Source organism: Homo sapiens, chromosome 5 (assembly GCF_000001405.40).
Source record: "Homo sapiens chromosome 5, GRCh38.p14 Primary Assembly".
In the NCBI taxonomy this organism is placed as follows: Eukaryota; Metazoa; Chordata; class Mammalia; order Primates; family Hominidae; genus Homo; species Homo sapiens.
In genome coordinates this window covers 114,357,871-114,379,914 of record NC_000005.10, presented here as the reverse complement: position 1 = coordinate 114,379,914, position 22,044 = coordinate 114,357,871, and the positions used below count along the sequence as shown (strand labels likewise).

The following is a 22,044-nucleotide window of genomic DNA, read 5'->3' as shown; positions in this document are numbered from 1 at the left end:
GTTATTCATTATACTGTCACAATATAATTATGCTATATATTTATAAAATATTAATATGCTATATAATATATAAGCTATATAATATATTCTATAAATATATAATATGTTATATAATATATTCTATAAATATATATGTTATATAATATATTCTATAAATATATAATATGTTATATAATATATTCTATAAATATATAATATGTTATATAATATATTCTATAAATATATAATATGTTATATAATATATTCTATAAATATATATGTTATATAATATATTCTACAAATATATAATATGTTATATAATATATTCTAAAATATATAATATGTTATATAATATATTCTATAATATATAATATGTTATATAATATATTCTATAATATATAATATGTTATATAATATATTCTATAAATATATAATATGTTATATAATATATTCTATAAATATATAATATGTTATATAATATATTCTATAAATATATAATATGTTATATAATATTTATCAAATATTCAGTAAGTATATTCATAAATGAGATTGTAGGAGGACCCGGGAAGAGTCAATAAGTTTGGAAATCAGAATGAAGGCACAAGAATGTCAGCAGAGAGCAAAGGTAATGCCAAGGACACTAAGGAGGGAGTGGCCATAGTTTCCTGAGGACTCTTGCAAGTGTGTGGGGAGATGGGCAGAAGAAAACGGATGGCGAGGGTCTTCCCTGGGGCCCCAGGTGGACAGTGGTGCCCTTCTCTAAGACAGCAAATGTCAGCTACCACTAGGAGGTCTAAGAGGAATGACAAGCACTAGGAGGTCTAAGAGGAATGACAAGGCTGGGAGGTGCTGAGCTGCGGCCCTGAGGGGCTTCTAAGGGGAGTTGCCAGTAGGCAGCTCAGAATGGAGAAGATTATTTGCATGAAATATAACTTTAATCACTAGAAACAGCAATAAGCAAATTAATAAATTATACATGCTGCCAGAACTTCAGACCAAAAGAAAATAACAAACACTCTTTACTGCTTCCCACCTTAATTTGTGGCTTTCTTAGGGCAAAATACAGAGTTAGAGAACAGTCAGCTATAAAATACTTTCTTCACAACATAAAACAAATGAGTCTCACTTCATGATTGAGGCAAGCCACACCGACAGTGTCACAGAACATTATAAGCCACAATGAGATGCCTAGCTCAATGAGATGCTGACACTAAGTTATGCAGCACCATGGGTCAAACATACTGCCCATACTGCCCCTCCCAAAAATGACTCCCAACCCCGAGGCACCAGAAGTTTCAACTACAGCCATTTCACTTGCATGTGATGATGTAAACCTAATTCAACACACAATTCCACATCAATCCCAGGGGTACAAACTCCTACACAGAAGCCCGAGATAGGGGCCATAGCAGAAAGCCTTGCACCTACAAAAATCTGCACTTCCCAATCGGCATCTACCTGAATCTCTGCCCACCACACACTTTCCTTAGTAAAAATCAGAGCGAATAAAACAGCTTTTGATGCAAAGATAGAACAAACACTTTCAGCCATGTTTCTTCTTGCCTTTGCTGACCATCCACTTCTCTAACTCAGGGGCTGGCAAACTTTTTCTGTAAAGGACCAGAAAGCAAATATTTTTCATTTTGCCAGCCACATGGCCTCTGTTGCAACTACTCAACTCTGCCATCGTAGCACAAAAGCGGCAATATACAATACCTGAACAAGTGGGCGTGGCTGTGTTCCAATAAAAGTTTTTTTTATATATAAACACATACGCCAGATTTGTTCAGGGGGCGGACTTGGCCCATGGGCTGCAGTTTGCCAGTCCCTGTTCTAACTAAGCAAATATTTGCCTTCTCTGCCCAATGTCCCTCTTACGAGAACTTTCAGCTACCTTGACACATGGGTGCATTATTGCCTTTCCCCCTTCCCACCTTGAGATACTCCTAGATTCTAGGCTCTGCTTCCTTGTGAAGGCTACAGTATTTACTTAATAATAATGACAGAAGAGTAGTAACAATGACAGAATAATAATAATAGAAGTTAAGACTTATTGAGCATTTATGATGTGCCAGGTATCACGCTAGATTCTTCATAAACACTGTCTTACTGAATCCCAAAAACAATCTAATGAGATAGGTACAATGATCATTTCCATTTTACAGATGAAAAAATGAGCCTGGGAGGGGTAATACTGTCTTCTTACGGTCACACAGAGTAAAACTGAGTTCTAACTCAAATCTGTCTGGATCCAGAGCCAAAGTTCTTCACTGACATCTGGGCTGCTTTCCAGAGGCACAAATGTCTGTCTAGATAGAAGGCGTCCCTCGGGCTTCTTCCCTTACACTGTCCTCTTGGGGTCTACACTCTGTGCTGCCACCCACACCCTGCTGGACAGTGACAGGCCCAGCCAGGTGGCATCTATCACCTTCATTCAAGCAGCAGCTCTTCTGCTTTTCACAAGCTTTTATCATTCAACATAAACACGAGTACAAGCAACAGACACCATCCAACATGACTGGAAAATGTTACGCTTATGCTTATTTTTCCACCCTCCAATCATAATGATGCACATAGGGGGATTAGAGAGCATCAGGGATCCTCAATATGTCCCTTAGGATCAGAGGCAGAGTGGGAATCCTGACGTGGCTGGTATTCTCAAAACACAGCAGATGTTCCCAGGAATATTCCTAAATGAAAACAAGTCTGGGGAGGCCAAAAAAGGGAGAGGTTATGTACACACAGCCAGTGGTGGACTCAGTGAGCACTGGGTAGGAAGAGCTGCTCCTCAAAAGGATCCATTAGGCAAATTTAAAATAAAGTCAATGAGATAATTTATTTTTATTTTATTTTTTTAAGAGACGGGCTCACTCTGCTGCCCAGGCTAGAGGGCGGTAGTACAATCATAATTCACTGCAGTCTTCACTCCTGGGCTCAAGCCATCTTCCCAAGTAGCTAGGACTACAGGCATGCACCACCACGCCCAGCTAAGTGTTTCATTTATTTACTTTTGCACAGATGGGGTCTTGCTATGTTGCCCAGGCTGGTCTCCAATTCCCGGCTTCCTTCAAGCAATCCTCTCTCCTCAGCCTCCCAAAGCATTGAGATTACAGGTATAAGTCACCATGGCTGGCCAATGAGATGATTTTAAAACCTGTTCACTTTATCTCCTCGGTAAGGAAAAGTACACTTGTAACACTTCATTGTAATTTCCCCCATTGTGTTTAAGAAAAAGATTAAAAATCATCAATAGCTTGGACCCCACTGAATGTACAGGTCATCATTCACACAAAAGAGGAGAGAGGAAATGTGAGCAAATTAATGAAAATTTACATTCAGCCTGCAAATGCAGCTACAGCATATGTCACAAGGGCATCTGAGCCTATCGTTTCTCACCATCAGCCTCCCTATCCTATTGCTTTTCATTTGCTGAATTGTGTTCCCATATGGCAGCATGTCATAATTAGAGTTTTGAAGGTGAGGCTTCTGCTCACCCTCCATCACACTGATCACCTTGCTGCAGCCACCTGTGTTCTTGCACACTAGTGCAGAGGAGACCTCTTGCTGCTGGGTAAATGCTGCAGAGCAGATGCAGGCCCACTGAGTGTTCCGTGTGGTCTCTGTGCAGGAAGGATGTTCTGACATGGGCTTGAGGGACTAAGTCCTAAACACATGTCCCCTTTCCTTCTGTGGCTACTTGTATAAGACACATTTGATGGATACATTATTCCTAAATAGCTGCCACTGAAGCAATCTGTACACACAGCATCAGACTGAGACAGTGAACATGACAGTGAGTGGGCTGGATCTTCATTCCCCAGTGTAAGAAACATCCAAAGGACACATTGGGAGATGAGACGCAGAACGTGGTCAAAACTTAACAACTGAAAAATAGGTATAGTTGTCAAAAAGGTTAAAAGAGATTGTGTGAAATAGATATGCTAAAGGAAAAAAATACATATATATATATATATATATATATACACTGTGAGTCTTTTTTTAAATGATTTAAAAACTCCACAAGAGCCAGTGAATACAAAATCAAAAATAGTTTTAAAAAATAGTTTTCATCCCTGAATTGTGTTGTTGCTTTCTTTTTGCAAAATAATAATAATAAGCATATTGGAGATTTCTCTTTGTATCACCCATGCTTAAATTGTAGAAGCCTGCTCAAACTCGTTTCCATCAAATATCCTCTTTGATGCTGACAAATAAGAACAACTAGTAAATTCTTGACTAAAATCCTACTGATGAAGTAAAATTCTAACTCAAAATATTTTTCAACAACAGTATTAAAATTTGCAACATTACCAAGAGGTTCAAGCAGTAAGCTAAAGGTTTTAAACCAATGACATGTATAACTAAATAAATATATCTTCAGGTATTCTCACCTCAAGAGACAAACTGACATGACTTTTTCCAAGTGACAGATGATTTACCTTTATGAAAATTGACTTACAGCAAGTTTCTAAAAGCTAAGACCTTTAAGTCTTAAAACTTCATAGCTAATTCCACATAAATAAAACAAAGTTTTCAGTCAATACCTTTGCTTGGGTACCTACCTAAAAGTATTAGATGTATCTTTGAAAAAGCATCAGATTACTATTATACATCCCACAGCCATCACTTTTATGTCACATTATATGCATACAACTTCAATACTCAGCCTCATTATTATGTTTTAATTTCTTAAACACTCTACTATCAATTTCTTAAATACTCTACTATCCAAAGCTAGGGCATAGTTTCCCTTAGCCACACAGTAAAAAATTAAACAGTTCATGAAATAGCACCCATGCAATTTTTAACCTTGTGACTGGAGACACTATTCTAAGAAAAGTACTGTCCAAGGTGAAAAGCATGATAAGCATACTATAGTATTTTATGCTTTCTCCTGAAAAATCAGTATGTCTTTGTCAAAACTAATATGCAAATATTGCACAGAATTTCCCCTGGAAAACGAAAGCCTCCTGACAGAAGACGACTAACTCAGTAACTAGACAATAAAGTCACAGTGGTCAAACTACCTGGAAACAATCCCATCTTAAAACCAGATAATCACTACGGATAGCTACATAATCAGGCAAAAATGCCCAGAATATTAAAGAAAGCAAAGGACACATTATTGATGTAGAATATCAGTTGTTAGAATGGTCTACATAATTAATTCCAAGTTTACAATGTATAATCCCAATGTGTCCTATAAATTCGAAAAGCAAAGTCCAAAACTCACTCAACAATAACACCTTATTCTAAACAAAGGACGGACAGAATGTAGATTCAATTAATGATTATTTGAAATAAAACAGAAAAGATACAAGCTCCCTGATAAAAAAGCAAAACAATCACTGTACCCAGAATATTTCGAGATGTTACTTGTCATATTTACACACAGAAATTCTTCCCAGTTCTTTCAGACCACTGTACTCCAAGCACTGTGGTTGAGTGTAGCAAAGAAAACAAAACTCTCACCAGAAATAAACCCAGTCCAGAAAAAGAAAAAAGCACCTTTTATTTAAATATCCTGTAGACCTACAAAGAATACAGACAGAAATACTGCCAACTACAGTCATTTACATGTATGCCTTAGGCTGTTTACTACCTCTTATCCTTTCAGCAGGAGTTTAATACCAGAATTTTCCATCATCCAAATTATTCCCCTTGCTTACTTTTAGGAGTGCTTCACTTAACTCTTTTAAGTCACCAGGGTCCTAATTAGTGGTGAGGAGAGGCAGTCAGCTGTGATGCCTGAAGGAGTTAATGTAACATAGAAAGGGCCTTGATTCCAGGATGAAGCCACATCCATGTTAAGTTTATGTGGAAAATGGCCATTTTGGTGCAAACTGTCAGCCTAACATCATAGTACCTGAACAATCACTACAGATCCAAAACCTAACAGACAAAATTATTACTTCTCTCCTAAGATAGTCAAACCTGCTCACAGGAAGATTCAGAACTAAATCTGTTTAAAAAAACAAATGGCTGTCCTTAATAGACAGCAAATGCTTTCACTTAAAAATATGCATGTGCTTGCACACACACCCTAGATTAAGTGTTAATAAACTAATAAAGACTGCTTGAATGGCCACTTTTTTTTTCCTGTTCTCTCTCATAAGTTTCATAAGGAAAAAAAAAAATCACAGTTTTCTAAAGCCCAGAGAAGCTGAGCTCCAATTCCTCCCCTTCCACCCCAACAAACTCCAAAATAGTGAACAATAACCAAGAGCTGACATGTAAATAGCCCTTACCACATGCCAGGCAGTGTTCCAAGTAATTTTATATATATATATATATAAAATCTTCATAACAACACCATGAGAGAGGTACTCTATATTCCCCATTTTACAGACAAGAAAATTGAAGTTCAGAGAGATTAAGTAACCTGTCCAAGGTCACACAGCTGATTAGTGGCAGAGCTGGGAATGAATGCACAAAGCCACAAGACTATGTTGTAAAAACAGTCAACACAAAGGAGAGTCCTATTGCTCTGCTCAGCAGGAAAGTTTAGAGAAAATTGTCAGAAATCACACTTTTAAAGCTTCCTATAATGAAAACAATTGGGAGTATTTGGAGACAGTTATCTTCCAATATTGCTTTCCCATTGTTTCTATATAATTGTTTTTAACTATTCAAAAGGGATACCCTTTTAGAAGCCTTTTTAGCCAATACTTCAAAACCAAGATCATGTAGAATTAGGAAGGTAGAGGAGTCCACAGGGAAGCAAATTGCCAGATTTACACAGCACAGTACTCAATGAACCTGGCACACTGGACCTAGATACTGCAGAATTCGCCACATAGTTCAATAAACCACATTTAATAAAGTGGTTTGAAAGCATTTAAAAAATAAAAGGACTGATAAAAACTTTTGGAAGAATAATTTTACAAGCTATCAGTTGTCTTAAATAATACCCTTTAATTCAGTAATTTCTCTCTTGGCAGTTTATCCTTAGGAAATCACAAGAGATGCTCACAAAAGTTAATGTGCAAGGGTATTTGTTATAAAAAATGTTTAAAATATGTTATTTCTAATTTTTAAGTGTCCAAAATAGGGAAAATAATAAAATTGATTATATCTACATAATGAAAGAAAACTTGCATCTACAATATTAAGAATGTTTAAACATGAGGAAAAACAATAAAAAGTTACATGAAGAGAATATAAAATTTCCTTATACAATAACGTATCAAATAGCATGTCCATATACTTTATATAAATACATGGTAACATAAATAATAGTCATCACTGGGTGGTAAGATTAGACTAATTTATACTACTTTTCATATTTTCCTATGTTTCACAAATTTTCTAACATGAATAGTTATTAATTTTATAATCTGAAGGGAAAAAATAAAATTTTTAAGAGTAAAGGGATTAGGTCATAAAGCTTATATTATATACTAAAATTACAAGCAAATCAGTCTTATTTCCTTCTTGGATATCACTAATAGACTGAAAGATCCTGACACTGCAGTAAACACAGAAAATGTGGATTTTAATAAGGTTTTAATAAGTCCTCATAAAATTCTTGTACACAAACTAGAGAAATGTGAGGTGGCTAATAGAGTTCATAGAGTTCAAACATCATGGATGAGCAGATGGCTCAACAACAAAAAGGGCCTACTTCTAAACTCTGACCTTGGCTTGTCCAAAGATTCACTTTTCAAACTCACAGCTAGCACAAAACTAGGAAAGAAGAGTCAAATGTGTCAACGACAGGTATCCAAACCAAGTAAGAACCACCAATATCGACCACGTTTCTGGAACAGAATCTAGCACCAATTTAAACGCTGGAGTCTTGCCAATTCCATAGATCATCCACACACAGGATTTTCCAAACCTAAACAAGTTTTGTCAAATAAACATTAGCATTATGATTCAAACAATTCTGACAGGCTGATATGCTGGTCTGAAATCAAGATGCTATTTAAAAGGGTTAGTAAACGTAAAGCTGAGCATTTAGTTCAATAACAATTTTACGTGTCACTGGGCAAATTTCTGTGAAGCAATGACCATTTTAGACTAATAAGAGTCGGCATAATATAGCATTTTTGATGAAGAGAGGTAACAGCCCCACTGGAAGATCCTATCTGAAAGTGCTGGGTATGTTTCTGACTTTCTCATTTGAAGAGGAAATTCAACATAACTGAGTAAGTCCAGAAGGATGTGATCAGGGACATTCAATGTCTGAGAAGGAATATTCAAAGAAATTGGACTATTTAACTAGGAGGGCATTTAAATGGATCTAATGTTAAAATGTTTGTTCTGTGATCCTGTGAAAAGGGAAATGAACTTATTCTTTTATGCTAAAACTTACAGTCTGTTTCTGTCTCAACCACTCCACAGAAACGGCTCATCAAGGTCAGCAATGACCTTCAATTTTCCAAATGCAAAAAGCACTTCCCTACCCCATGTTAAGAGACCTTGGTAGCATTCAATATAGAGTGCTATGCCCTCCTTAAAACACTCCTATCTCTTAGACTCCTTCACCTCAGGGACAATTCATTCTTGTCTCTTTTTTCTACTTCTTACTTTACTCAACCTCTAGATGTCAGAGAATGATCAACTCTCAACCTTCTCATTTTTCTATTCTCTCTCAGTGATTTCATCAATTCCTGTGGGTTTAAATAGTCTCTGTGCTGATAACTCCCAAATTTAAATATCCGGTACAGACTTCCTCTGTACTCCAGACTCTCATATACAATCAGCATAATTTCAAATATATTATGCTAAAAGAAATTCCTGATTCTACACCCTGCTCCTCAATTTGAGTCTTCCCTTCTCAGTACAACACACTCAGTTGCTCCAACCAGAACCCCATCAATCATCTTTGTATTGGCCCTTGCCCTTACCTGCCACATTCTATCCACTGGTAAGTCTGTTCTACCTCCAATCAGCCCACTTCTCCTCATCTCTATGGCTGCTACAAGCAAGAATGCTATTAAGCCAGGTGAGCATCATCTCTATGAATCAGCTTGCCAACAACTACCTAATAGTATCCAGACCAATTCTCACAGCATCAAAACAAGGCCTGCTTAAACATTCAGCTGGATCATGAGCCTTGCCTGCTTTAAACTCTTTACTGACTTTCCCACTGCATGTGGGAGGGGTGGGGGGCGGAATCCATAAATCCTTACAATGGTCTCAAGTCCTTGAAAATCAGGCCCCTTTATCCCCTCCCATTCTGTTTGGTACCATTCTGCTCCTGCTTGGCCTATGCTATGCTATGCTGGTTTGCTCTCATTTGCTTAAGCACAGTAAATTCCTGGTCATAAGGCCTTCACACAGGTAGTTCCCAGACTCTGGCAATACTGGATACTTCTTTCCCTTTATGTCTCAGTTTAAATGTCACTTTCTCAGAAAGTCCTCCCTTGATGGTCCTGTCTGATGTATGCAACTGTTGCCTCCCAACTTTCTATCTCAGCCCTTTGTCTCTCCTCTAGGGAATTTATCACAACTTCCAAAAATTTTGTTTATTATTAATTTTTTGTCTCTCTTTAACCCCTCCTCCTTGGAATATCAGCTCCAAGAGGAAAGGGCCCCTCCTGTCTTATTCCTCATTGCATTTGCAGACCTCAAAAACTTTTAAAATGCTGAATATGGAATAAATAAAATGAGACTTCACCTGAACGTAAAATCTTACTAAAAATAAGAGCTAAGAATGAAACAGCCTTGTACGTGTATGAACTGCCAATCTTGGGAAAAGAGTTTAAGCAGGAACTGGGTGACTCACTTTTATTAACAATGACATAAAGGACATTCTCATGCTGGGTGGGATACTGGGCCCAATAATAATTAAGATCCCTCCATGTGTTTTCTAGTTTTATAAATAGAATTATTAAGGAGTTTCAGGTTGAAAATGTACTCCCAAAGTAGCAAATATTATATTATTTCTTAATGAGTAGAAATTCTCTCTAAAACAACCCCACAAAACCACTTCCTATCCTAACTGAATATAACTTCTCTGAAGTTAAATCAACGCAGGCTGCCTTGGTGCTCCCTGCCAAACGTGGTTTGGGATGACAGCCCACAGTGCCCTTATCTCTCAACTGTACAAAACATGGCCCAGAAACAGGTTGGATACTCTAGAAAACCCATTTGTGGTAAACCTAAAGTTCCACTCTTCATTCATTTGTGATGCTGCTCTGTAAACACACCAGGATAGCTTTATTTAGCGTTACACCCATTAATAATGCAGAGATCTTTACACAAGCAGGCGGAGAAAATTAGTCCTGAGTGATTTCGTTACTACAGTGTATACACAAAGTCAAAGGGACTGAGCATCTCATTACTTCTGATATAGAGGATGCTGGCAATATAGACATCAGTCACTGAGCTGAACACCACTCAACAAAGGAATTCAGGCAAGTTTTCTACCTCACTATCTTTTGGAGTCTTACCTTCAACCTGTTGCTATAATTTTTATCCACCTCATAGGTACATGAAACTACCATAGCAGAAAACTTAAGACCAATCCAAGATAATTTCTTCTACTTTTTTAGCTTCCTTCATCTTCAACAACCTCCTCCAAAATTTTTTAACTGAGATAATAAAACTTGGGAAACATTTGCTTCTGATAACTCCATTTGCTGGCAGATTAGATAACGCACTGATATTACAAAATAGATGCAAAGAAGCCTGAGGCCTTGAGCTTTGTCTTTAAACAATTTGTCACCAAAAAATGTTTTGCAAGAAAATGGTAAACTTTTTAGATTTCTTTAATAAATATTTTTATAGCATCCAGTGTTCACAATGCTGTGGAGGAATAACGTGTGAGAAAGCAGAGACATAAACTCTGACGGCCTTTCTAGAAGACTAGTGGGCAATACCTTTCCATTTAAAATGCAAACTCCCTTTGATTCAGCAGTCTCACTGCTGAAAATTTACCATATGTATATACTCTAAATAGATTAAAATAAATATATAAGGATGTTCATTTTAATATTACTTGTAACAGCAAAAACTTAGAAAACTCCAATTTGCCTATCGGCTCTCAGATCAGGGCTGGTGAAGTAAACCACAGTACATCCATAGAATAGGATCTCATGTACCTGCTAAAAAAAAATGAAATAGGTCCCTACTGCTGCTGAGGATAAACCTCCAAGATATAATACAGAATATAAGCAAGGTATGGGTGTATTCCTAAATATTCCGTATTGAAATTCTGAAGGTATATATATAAAACTTAAAAGTGGTTACCTCTGAGAAACATGACTGAGAGAATGCGACTTTCACTTTTTATTCTAAAGTCTGCTGTACTGTTTTTATTATGTGTATTGGTTATTTTATTAATAAAAATAGTAAACTATATGCAGTATTTTCTGCATGGTCTGCAAACACCTGTTTGCTCTCTGTAGAAGTAGCAAAGGGAACACTCTGTCTTTCTTCTTCAGACTTGAGCCTTCACATAGCAAACCACAGAGCCTACTAGTAGACAGGGACCACCCCTCCCCAACTAGTCCAGGTGAGGCCCCCACCCTCACTCACTCTTTCCTGTTTTCTGTGGCCTTGGTGCACGAATGAAGAGAAATTTTCATTACTGTTCTTCCGATTATAGAGCTATAGAGCCATCTCTGAAAAGCCAACTCTAAAGATGATGAAAAGAGTTATTCCATCATAAAAGATGACAAATAAACATTGTTGCTTCTCCTAATGCTATTTATTATATAATTACAGTTGTCCCTTGGTAACCACAGGGGATTAGTTCCAGGAATCCCACAGACACCAAAATCCATGTATACTTAAGATTTTCAGCACTTTGCAACCCACATAAATGAAAAGTCAACCGTCTGTATGAGGGTTTTACAGCTAGTGAATACTGTATTTTTGCTGATGCAGAACCCATGGATATGGAGGGCCCACTATATTTACTGGAAAAAAAAAATCTGTGTATAAGTGGATCCACACAGTTCACCCATGTTGTTCAAAAGTCAGCTGTACATTACAAAAACAAACAAACGAAAATGTTTTCCAATTCAAAGTATATCATCTGCCATTCTTCCAGGACCCATGAGAACCAGAAAGATCAGGCACTAGTCCAAGGGGTTTTCTGTCCCTGCTTAGAATCTTATGTTTGCCTACCTCAAAGTACTAAACAACTCTTTCATCTAAAATTACCTCTATAAGAAAAATAATAGTATACTAAAGCTGAAAAGATGCAGTGGAAGCTACACTGAAAATTTCAGATGCTGAAGATCTTAAAGGATAGTTGAACTCCGTTTTGTACTTTATCCATCAGAGATGCATCTCCAACCCCACTGTGGGGTGGGGTAAAAAAAAAAAAAATGTCACTGAAAAGCATGCTTCTGTTTTACCTATAATTTGACCTTGAGACTTGAGGTAGGAAGGCTACTTACTTAATATCAAGGGACCTTTCCAAACTGTACAAAAATAATCGCTATTATGTTTTCTTTTGTCATAAGGTCATGATACATAGGCATTTATTAAAATTTATGTGTTCATTTATTTTTTAGCTTTACTGATAGATATAGAAAACAAGTTCAATATCACCTGAAAAAGTCTAACATCTCCTTAGCTAAAAATTACTCCTACTAAATCTGATGTTTTATAAGTATTACGACCAAAATGTGATTTCATTTTTGGTAGTGAGGTATAAAAGTAATTAGTAAAATGAACAAAATTGTTGCCTGGTGCACTGAGCTGTCTGTGGTACTGAAAAATGACACCAAAGCTGAAATCTACTGAGCTGGTATCTTACAAAGCCTCCCCATCATACTGTTTTAATACAAGCACTTCCATCCATGACTCACCTGAACCATCTTGTTTTGCCAGAGTGTGTATAAACATTTTATAAAAGGTCACACGGATCTGCTTTCCAAGGTTCTCCATGAAAATGTCAGGGCCTCCTCTTGCTTCATTAAGCAATTCCAGAGGACATAGAGCCAGAAAGTCAGCTATAACACTTACTTTTCCTGAATGCAGTGAGAAATCATATCATGCACCAGAAATCTGCACTGGCGAGCTTTTACTATCTGATTATCATACTGATATGCTAAAAAGAAAAAGCTAAACTGTCCTTTTAGATTATATGCTACATCCAAGGACACGCTATGAATGGCAGCATAACCTTGCATTTAGTTTCTTAACTCAAAGCTAATTGATATATTTGGAATTATTTAGCGTGAGCTGAGAAGTGCTCATTAGCTTAAAACTTTTTATGAAAAAACATATATACCCACAGCAGTGACATCAATAAGTAAAAAAGGAGGGCGGGGGGCAATTCATCATTTTCCATGCATATACATAAGCCTGAGCAGTTGGTTTCATTGTGTTTCAGAATAAGGTATTTGACAGCCCTGCTGACGCTCTTCTCTGGACAAATTAGAACATCTTTACCTTTTTCTGGTTCTTGACTTCCAGTTCAGGGTCTTCACATTTGTTTGGCCCTTCTCCATTTTATTTATTTATTTTTTAATAAAAGCATCTCAGATAAGAATTTGGAGCTTCAGCTTAAAGGAGAAATCCCTCTAGATAATACACCGAGTAAAAAAGCTACATCCAAATTAATTAAATGACATGACCCAAGCATCTATTTTGAAATTATCTTAAGTATAGTGGGTTTAACAGAAACCACATATCATATAAAATAAACCGAATTTTAAAACATATATCATTCTATAACGTTTATGTTGACCAACAGTAAGGAAGTTCACTGTGCATATTTGCCGTGGAGAGTCATTCCATGTCATTTTTCTCACCCATGCAATACATACCCTAATCAAAATATATGTGCATATGCATAATTGAAATGGTCCTCAAAATTAGCCAATGAGTGGAATGCTTTCAAGCATTAATCTATAAAAATATGATTTTTTATAAACTTCTGTAAATTTTAAGCGTTCTAATATGACATCAATTTTTTCAAATAGTTAACATTTGGTAGCTCTTAGACTCCTATGAATTACTTCAAAAAATCTCCCAATAATTCTTAAAGAGTCAATGTTTTCAAGACACTTTGTTTTTGATGTTAATACCAGCAAATGTCCTCCCCCATGAATGTTTCTTTAGCTGTGTGATTTTCACAAGGAACAGGCAATAACACAAAGCTGATATTTAATAAAACCCAGCAAGATCTCTCATTTCAGAATCATTAAGCAAAACGACTCTGTCCTCCAAACAAAACATTTTTCAAGTTAACTTGATTTTTAAAAATATGTAAGAACATTTTGGAATGATCTTTTAAGTTTAACTGAATTTATATACCAAACTTTTGGATTTAGAGGGAAACTGCAGAAAAAGAAATATTCACGTTTCACAGTTTTTGGCATGTAGCAGCAGCTCGCAGAGGAAGCATTATGGCCTGGAAGCTAGGATAGGGCTGGTTCTCACTGTGCACTGTCTAGCTGTGTGGCCCGGCAAGCTACCTCTGCTGATTTCAGATTCCTTATCTGTAAACTGAGTCAAAGGACCATTAAACCTATTTTGTTCCTTCCAGCTCTAATTGTCTACTCTTCAAGTCAAAATGAAAAGATAAATTTCTAATGTTTAAGTTATATTTTAGTATCACTTTAAAATGTTCAAAATAATCTCAAAAGCCCAACCATCACTAGTATTGAATTAAAGATGAATCTATGTAAACTGTTAAAACTTTAAAAAATTCAAATGTGTGTTCATCTCATTTTGTCAGTGCAGTTTTGTAATTTATTTCTGAGTAGTCTCACTCTTTCTAATTATCATTCTCCAACCTCATCCCTTCAAAAACACATTTTTCAAAGTTTTACAAGTATAAAGGCAACGTGAAGTAATTTCTCCCTCTGCACTTGGAGTAATGTGCATCACTATTTTGTCTGGGCATCATTAAAAACGATTTCTTCCATATTTACTTTGTGTTTGCTAATTACTAATTTAAAATTAATTTAATTTAAATTAATACTAAATTACTTCAAAGGCAAATCCTATATAAGATTTTAAATTGAAAGGCAGCTTAAATCTGAGGCAGTCTAAAGGAAGATGGCCTAAATTAAGGGTCTCAAAGTACCACCAAATGTCTAACAACTGCTCAAAAAAGAAAAAAAAAAACTCAGAAAATACATAGTGCAAATTCTCATGCACCAGGACCACAGGACTGAGCCACCGCGCCTCCCACACAGTGCAAATTCTAAGCTGAAAAAAGTCCCAATCTAATTTTTGAAAACTCTATACTTATTTTAATTTAAAAGCCTTAATATTCCTGTGTAGGCTAACAACTGACAAGATGACCCGTAAGTTTTATAGAGCATTCTGATATGGATACTAACAGTCAAATATAGAGCTCCTGGCTGCATTTAAACAAAAGAAATATTTTCAAAAAAAAAAAAAAGAACTCACAAGGACAGTGGCCTTAACTCTTAAATTACATTTTAAAAAATACTTCATGACTGGATACACAGAATTTGCATTCTAAACTTACAACAGTTTTTTTTAATGGTGGGGGATTTAGGAAGGGGTTAGATCTTTTCCCATATCTCATTTATATAAATTAGCTGGCAACTCATCACCCAGTTTTCTTCTCTATGCTAAATTACAGAAGATTATATAGATAGATACAATCTCCCATAATGACGCACCCACTAGGAAGAGGTGTCTCAAACAAGAACACAAGTTCATTCCAGATTAAAACTAGAGCATAACTGGCCTTAAGGAACAAAATGTGACTGATCTGGAGAAAAGGATCCACCTACTGAAGAGAAGTAAAAATCTTAAGGGTCCAACAAATACACCTCAGAAAATGCTGCATGTTTATATGCTACCCTGCCTTGTGTTGTTTTCCACTTCCTGAAAGAACAGGTCAGGTGCTAACGGTAACAATACAGCATGTGTCTTCTGTAACCTCAAGCAAGGACATGATGGCTTGAAAAAAGCCTCTGCTGCCTTGCGTTTCTCTAGGCTGACTGTAGGGCTTTGGGTCATTCATAAACAGCAGGACCTAAGTTACCTGTATTTCCCTGGCGTGGTACACGATGATCAGACCGAGCAGGATGATCGTGGAGAGACTGATAAGGCATTTCAGAGCTAAGGAATACAGCGACGCCTGCAACACAGTCAGACAGAAGCACTTTTAAGAAAGAAGCACTTTTAACCGCCTTCCACGTCCCCAGAGTCAGTCAGTCCCCCACAGGTGGACCTGAACTCACAGAAGGAAGATAAGGGGAGAGGGGTGCACCTGTCTTGGCTCTGTGATCTGTCAGATCACTCGGCCTCAAAACCAAAAGAGACGAGAGTAGACCTGGAAAGACTGGGAAGACGCGTGGCTGGGCTGCTGGGTCCACGCCATAGAGGACCGAAGCGAGCGCCGCTGTTCCAGGCTAGCAAAACCAGAGGAACTTACTTCTGAGTTCAAGAGAGCGGGTTGAAAGGGCCCTTCTAAACATAATTCACGAGGGGATGAATTACAGATGGTTTCCCCACCGACTTCCAGAACCACTTACTTAAGGTGCCCGAATGCGCTGAGCACTCTTAACTGCCTCGAGAACTTTGGCTGCACGCGGAAAGGGTTCATCTCCGAGTTGTTTAGCTGACTACGGATGCGCGTCCTAGACGCGCCCGCTGTCCTGGCGGGCTCCCTTGATCGTCCCGGAGAGGCTAGGGATCCGCACGCAAAGGGTCCCCGCCAGTGCCCATCCCAACCACCCAGTGCCCGACTCCGGTAGCGTGGGCTGGGGTTCAAGCCTGTACCTTGTCGTAGGCGCCCCACGACAGCTCGGTCTCGATGACCATGACCACGATGCCGAACATGCCGAAGATGAGCGCGTAGTCGCTGAGCCGCTTGCGCTTTTCGAACAGGGCGCGCCGGTGGCCCAGCTTGTAGCCGATGTTCTGGTTTTTCTTTTTGCTGGACTTGGTGCCACTGCTGCTGCCGTGCCCGCTCCCGCCACCGCCGCCGCCTCCTCCAGTGCTGCCTCCGCCGCCGGTTCCATAGAGCGCCAGGTTGTTGGAGTTGTTGTGCTCGGGCTTAGACACCACGATCTCGGGGGCTGAGGACGAAACAGCGGCGGCGGCGGCAGCGGCTGCAGACGGGGAGGACGCGCCGCCACCTCCTCCGACAGACGCGGGGGGCTGCAGGGGCTGCGCCTCTGAGTCCATCTCGTGCAGGTTCCGGCGGGACGCGCTCAAGTTGCTGAGCGGCCGCATGACGCCCCCGTTGTACCTGCAGCTGCTCATGGCTATTTCGGTGAAGGGGTTGCTCTCGCGGCGCGCCTGGGGCTGGTGGTGCTGGTGGTGCGCCGGGTGCGGGTGGTGGTGGTGGTGCGAGAGCGGGGGCCCGGAGCCCAGACTGCCGAGGCTGCCCGTGGGGCTGGCGGCGGGCTGCAGGCTGTGGCACTGGTGGTACTGGGAGGCGGACGCCGACTGCTGCGCGGACTGCTGCGCGTACTGCTGCCGGAGCGCACTGGCATGGCTGGACGGCGTCAGCTCGCTCACATTGAGCTGGCTGCCCCGGCGCGACGAGCAGCAGCAGCAGCAGCAGGACGAGCCCGACAGCGGCGAGGAGGTGCGGGTCCGGAAGGCGCCGCCGGGCGAGGAGGTGCGGAGCAGCAGGGACAGGTTATCTCCCGCCCCCGCCGCCGGGGCACCGGAGGAGGCGCAGCTGTTGCACCGGAGGCATGGGCTGCTGCCGCCGCTGGCCGGCTGCTGGTGCGCGAGGTGCGGGTGGTGGTGAGGGTGCGGGAGGGGCGCGAAGGGCGGGCACGGCTTGTCCTGGCTCTGTTGCTGCTGCTGGCAATGCAGGTGTGAGGAGCGCGGCGGCGGCGGCGGCTGCTCTGGGAAGAAGCCGCGCTGGAACTGCAATGGGGTTTCCATGTCAGGGCTGTTAAAGCTGCAGGGAGACCAAGCGGTGGTGCACCCTGCGCAATGCGTTATGGTCGGGAGCGGGGACTCCTGCTGCTGGTGCGAGGAAGGGCCCATGCCGGCTCCGGTAGAATCCAGGCGGCGAGTCCGATTGGTTGGGCGCACCAAAACAATGGGCATGACATCACCTGCGGGGACCGAGACTGAGTTTGCGGCGCGCGCGGCTTAGGGAAGCGTGTGTGGCAGAGAAAGATGGGGAGGGGAATCTGCAGGACAAACCCTAGGGGGGTGCAGTCCAGAGCCAGGGCGCTCCAGGGCAGGGATTCCGCCTGCTGATTGCGTGGAGATGGAGAGCCCCCACGCAGTGCAGCTGGGCTGCAGGGGGAGGAGAAAAGAGAAAGGCGCCCCTCCCTCCCGTGCCGCTGCCCCCTTGACTAGTGCCGGACGCGCTGCCCGGATCACCTGCGCCAGCCACTGCAGCACGTCGGGCCACCTTGGCCGGGGGCAGGCTCAGGGACGGTGTGGAACCCCGACCACTTCTCCGACTGCACGCCTCGCAGGGCTGCAAAACAGCAGCCCCCTCGTCCCACGCCCGCTTCTCCCAGATCATCCCGCCGAGAGTGGGCTGCCGGCTGCCCGCCAAGTAACTGCGGGGGCACTGGCTTTGGGGAGAAAAAGTTTGGCGACCGGCTGCGCCAGTGCAGCAGCGTGTGGGGAGAATCCCGGGGCCTGAGCCCTGCCTTGGCCGCTGCGGGATCATAGCCGACCCCGAGACCGGATCTTTCCCAGCCGGCAGGCTCTGGAATCTGGATTGGGTGCGCGGCGCTCTAGCCCAAGTGCGCTGCGGCGCGGGTAGGGTTAACCGCCTCGGCACCCCGGCCGGGGGTGGGTGGGGGCGGGGCCGGAGGAGGGGATCCCCGCAGTCTGCCGACAGAGCCGGCCGGGCTTCCCGGGTCCCCCCTGGCGGGGGCGGAGGGCTTTCCCCGCTACCGCCAGCTCACATTTGCGCCTTCTCCAGAACATGAGGGGATGGCGCCCCCGGCCGCCGGGTCCTGGGCTCTGGCGCTCAGGCCCTCCGGCAGCCCGAATCCGGAGGTCCCAGGGCTTCCTTGCCGGTGGAGAGGCAGGCGGCTCGCTCAAAGGTGTGGGGGCTGCTCAGCCACCGCCGGCCTCCAGCTGCTCTTCTGCTTCTCTTCCTCCTCCTCACCTGCAGCGCAGACACAAAGCAAAGACCGGTCACAAATACGCAAATATCGAGCATCTTTGCCAAGTCCTAACTGCAGCGGCGGGTGGGAAAGGGGCCTGGCGCGGGCTGATTCACCCCGGTAGTCGCAGCCTGGCAGGGAAATTAAGAATGATAGCTTGGGCTGAATAGTCGCTGCCCACGGACAGTGCTGGAGTTTTGTTGGAGTTCGGTATCATTATTTATTTATTTACTCTCTAATAAACTAACAAAAATTGCATTTGGTGTCTCACAAATTCCCTGTGCTGTCTTCTTCTAAGAGATGTACCAACACAATGCACTAGGTGATCCTTATGTTCTTTGTTTCTGCTCCATCTTAAGTCTTTACATTTGCATTTCTTTGTGAATTCAAATTCCCGTCTCCCCCTAAAGAAGGTGAAAGAAATTGGCCCGTTGAATATTTGTTTCCATTTTAAATTATTTTAAAGCCTGCTTTTCATGATAAAGACTATTACAACGAGTTAGACCTAGCAATTAGAGTGAAAGCGGATCACCCTCATTAGGTCATTAGGTAATTGGAATTCTCAGCTGGATCCAATTTCTTGATATTCTACTCGGCAGCTGCCCTAAAGTTGCTTACCTGGTATCTGCTTTTCAGAGTGTGCGTGTGTGCGCTTTCAATGCCATGGAATGAATAATTCATTTTATGATGTTCTTTGGACACATGTTAATTTTAATTTTTTGTGTGTGCAAATAAACATTCAGCAGAAAAAAAGGGGTGGGGGGTGCACAGCTGCTTTTAGTCCCGTAGCCCTGGACTTGAGCTAATTAATACTGTCCGGAATTGAATTTCTCAATGGTCTTGGTCAAGAATATAATTTAGTGGCTAACAATCAGAGACAGCATTTTGTTTTTATCATCTATTACTATTTTTGTTCTGTATCTTCAAAATAGCAATTCAATAAAACTTCTTTAGAATCACGAAGCTAATTGAGTCTTCGGGGCAGCTGAGTAGATACTGCATAAATTGTGTGGAAAGCATGAGTATTCAAAACAATCCTGCGAAGTAATTTGAATTAAAATGAAAGTTTCCCTATGAAAAGTTACTAACCTGGTCTGAAAAAGAAATTCAACTCATGCGGAAAATCCATCAAACATGTATTAGGACGCTTTTCAACAAATTATGTAGCTTTCCAGTTGCTATACGTAGCGATTGAGTGAAAATGTTTGATTCATCCTTACAAATCTAAATACTTCAAAGGAACATTATGGTAAATTAATAAATATTTTTATTAGCCGTTCATAAATTTAGATAAAAGATTACATAGCCTCCACCCCTGAAATATCATAATAGTTGTTGCCAGCATTAAATTAGATATAAGGTTCTACAGTTACTAAACTGTCATAAGAAAAATAATGGCTGCATCCCTTGTGTCAAACTGACTTTGTCAAATAGCAAATTCACGGCTTCAACAGAGGCTCCAAAACCAAAATAATAGGCAAAAATGTATCTTTTGCCATGTATATCTCTATGCTGTAATATGGGATTAGTTGCAGTGCTATTAATCATGTAGAAATCATGTAGAAATAATCATCTCAGAAATTGCCTACTGAGATTTATGGCAATGTTGCATGGAGTTCTCACTTCTCTTCAAGGGGGTACACAGGAGGATAGAATGCACAAAATTCAGAAGAAAATGGAAATTTGATTCACAACATGAGGGACTGTCGGAACACCAAAACTCAGACTAATACTACTTCCGGCTAGCACTATTTTGAAAAAGCTCATAAAATAATTTAATAATGTAAAACTCACTGTGATTGGACAGAGAGCAAATCAATCAGACATTTATCGGCTTTCTGTTAAGAAATCAACTGATTACACACACTCAGCCGTCTTGCTAATAAATATCTGTATATTGAGAGTGTGGTAAACCTGTATTACTATGATGATGAAAAAACACAAGATAATTTTGTTTCATTTTTAGTCTGAATCATAACTTCATTATTTAAGGCATTTTACACTATTAGGTTATAACAGGCACATTTAAGAAGTTCTTATTTTCATCATTCCTCTTTTAATAAAGTCAACAAATTTTAAGTTTATATGTAGACATTTAAAATGTGCATAACATGATTTCTTTTTTTTCTACACAGGACTGTAGAGATACATGTAACATGTAAAGTTAAATGAAGCAACAAAGGCAATATTCTTCCACGTGGATAGTAGTTTGCACATAGTAGATACTTATTTATATTTGTGAGTACAGAGAGAAGGAGAGAGGAAGGAAATGAAGAAACATTGGGGGAAAAAAAAAGACGCAGATCAAGGGCTATGACTTCCAGTGATAAGCTTTCAGAAAATTAAATTTCCTTCTTTTTGTTCCATTAAAGCATATAAGTGAGAGAATTTCCCTAGATTAACACCAGAGGTCATACTCAGCCACAAAATGTATTTCAAATCTAATCAATTAAATCTATTTCCAGCATCACTTTTTAATAAAAATTGCCTATTTTTTTCTTATGGCCTACAACAATTGCTTTCCCATGTTTGTTGAATTTCAAGCTTGTGAACACGCACACAAACACCCATCCCACACACAAACACATTTTCTTAGAAGCATGTCTTTTTTCAGACCACAGGAGCTTGGGAAAAAAACTTCATCTCCTTCGCCCACTTTTTGATGGGGTTGTTTGTTTTTTTCTTGTAAATTTGTTTGAGTTCATTGTAGATTCTGGATATTAGCCCTTTGTCAGATGAGTAGGTTGCGAAAATTTTCTCCCATTTCGTAGGTTGCCTGTTCACTCTGATGGTAGTTTCTTTTGCTGTGCAGAAGCTCTTTAGTCATGTGTTTTTTGGCTGCATAAAGGAAGACATTTATGCAGCCAAAAAACACATGAAAAAATGCTCATCATCACTGGCCATCAGAGAAATGCAAATCAAAACCACAATGAGATACCATCTCACACCAGTTAGAATGGTGATCATTAAAAAGTCAGGAAACAACAGGTGCTGGAGAGGATGTGGAGAAATAGGAACACTTTTACACTGTTGGTGGGACTGTAAACTAGTTCAACCATTGTGGAAGTCAGTGTGG

At 40.5% G+C, this 22,044-nt stretch overlaps 1 protein-coding gene across 5 annotated transcripts in view, besides 2 other annotated features; it reads right to left on the bottom strand.

Moving 5' to 3' along the window:
• Window positions 1–22,044, bottom strand: part of KCNN2 (potassium calcium-activated channel subfamily N member 2) — a 440,519-nt gene that overhangs the window by 116,582 nt on the left and 301,893 nt on the right. For 2 of the 5 annotated variants that reach the window (NM_001372233.1, XM_011543389.2), the window contains 3 exons: window positions 18,765–18,970; window positions 16,654–17,951; window positions 15,914–16,009 (listed from right to left, as the gene is read on the bottom strand). In NM_001372233.1, the coding sequence (NP_001359162.1) occupies window positions 15,914–16,009; window positions 16,654–17,951; window positions 18,765–18,786 (1,416 nt within the window). In that variant the 5' untranslated portion in view covers window positions 18,787–18,970. Of the gene's footprint in view, window positions 1–15,913; window positions 16,010–16,653; window positions 18,971–22,044 lie in introns of those variants that run through there. The other 3 variants (NR_174097.1, NM_021614.4, XM_047417166.1) reach the window with 2 other exon arrangements.
• Window positions 18,568–18,777: a silencer, noted in NCBI's record as "silent region_16244". NCBI's record gives its function as "represses an Ori minimal core promoter by ATAC-STARR-seq in GM12878 lymphoblastoid cells {active_cell/tissue: GM12878}" and the evidence as "EXISTENCE:reporter gene assay evidence [ECO:0000049][PMID:35858748]".
• Window positions 18,816–19,732: an enhancer, noted in NCBI's record as "OCT4-NANOG-H3K27ac-H3K4me1 hESC enhancer chr5:113695880-113696796 (GRCh37/hg19 assembly coordinates)". NCBI's record gives its function as "activates a minimal SCP1, AML or CMV promoter by ChIP-STARR-seq in primed H9 embryonic stem cells {active_cell/tissue: H9 hESC(primed)}" and the evidence as "EXISTENCE:reporter gene assay evidence [ECO:0000049][PMID:30033119]".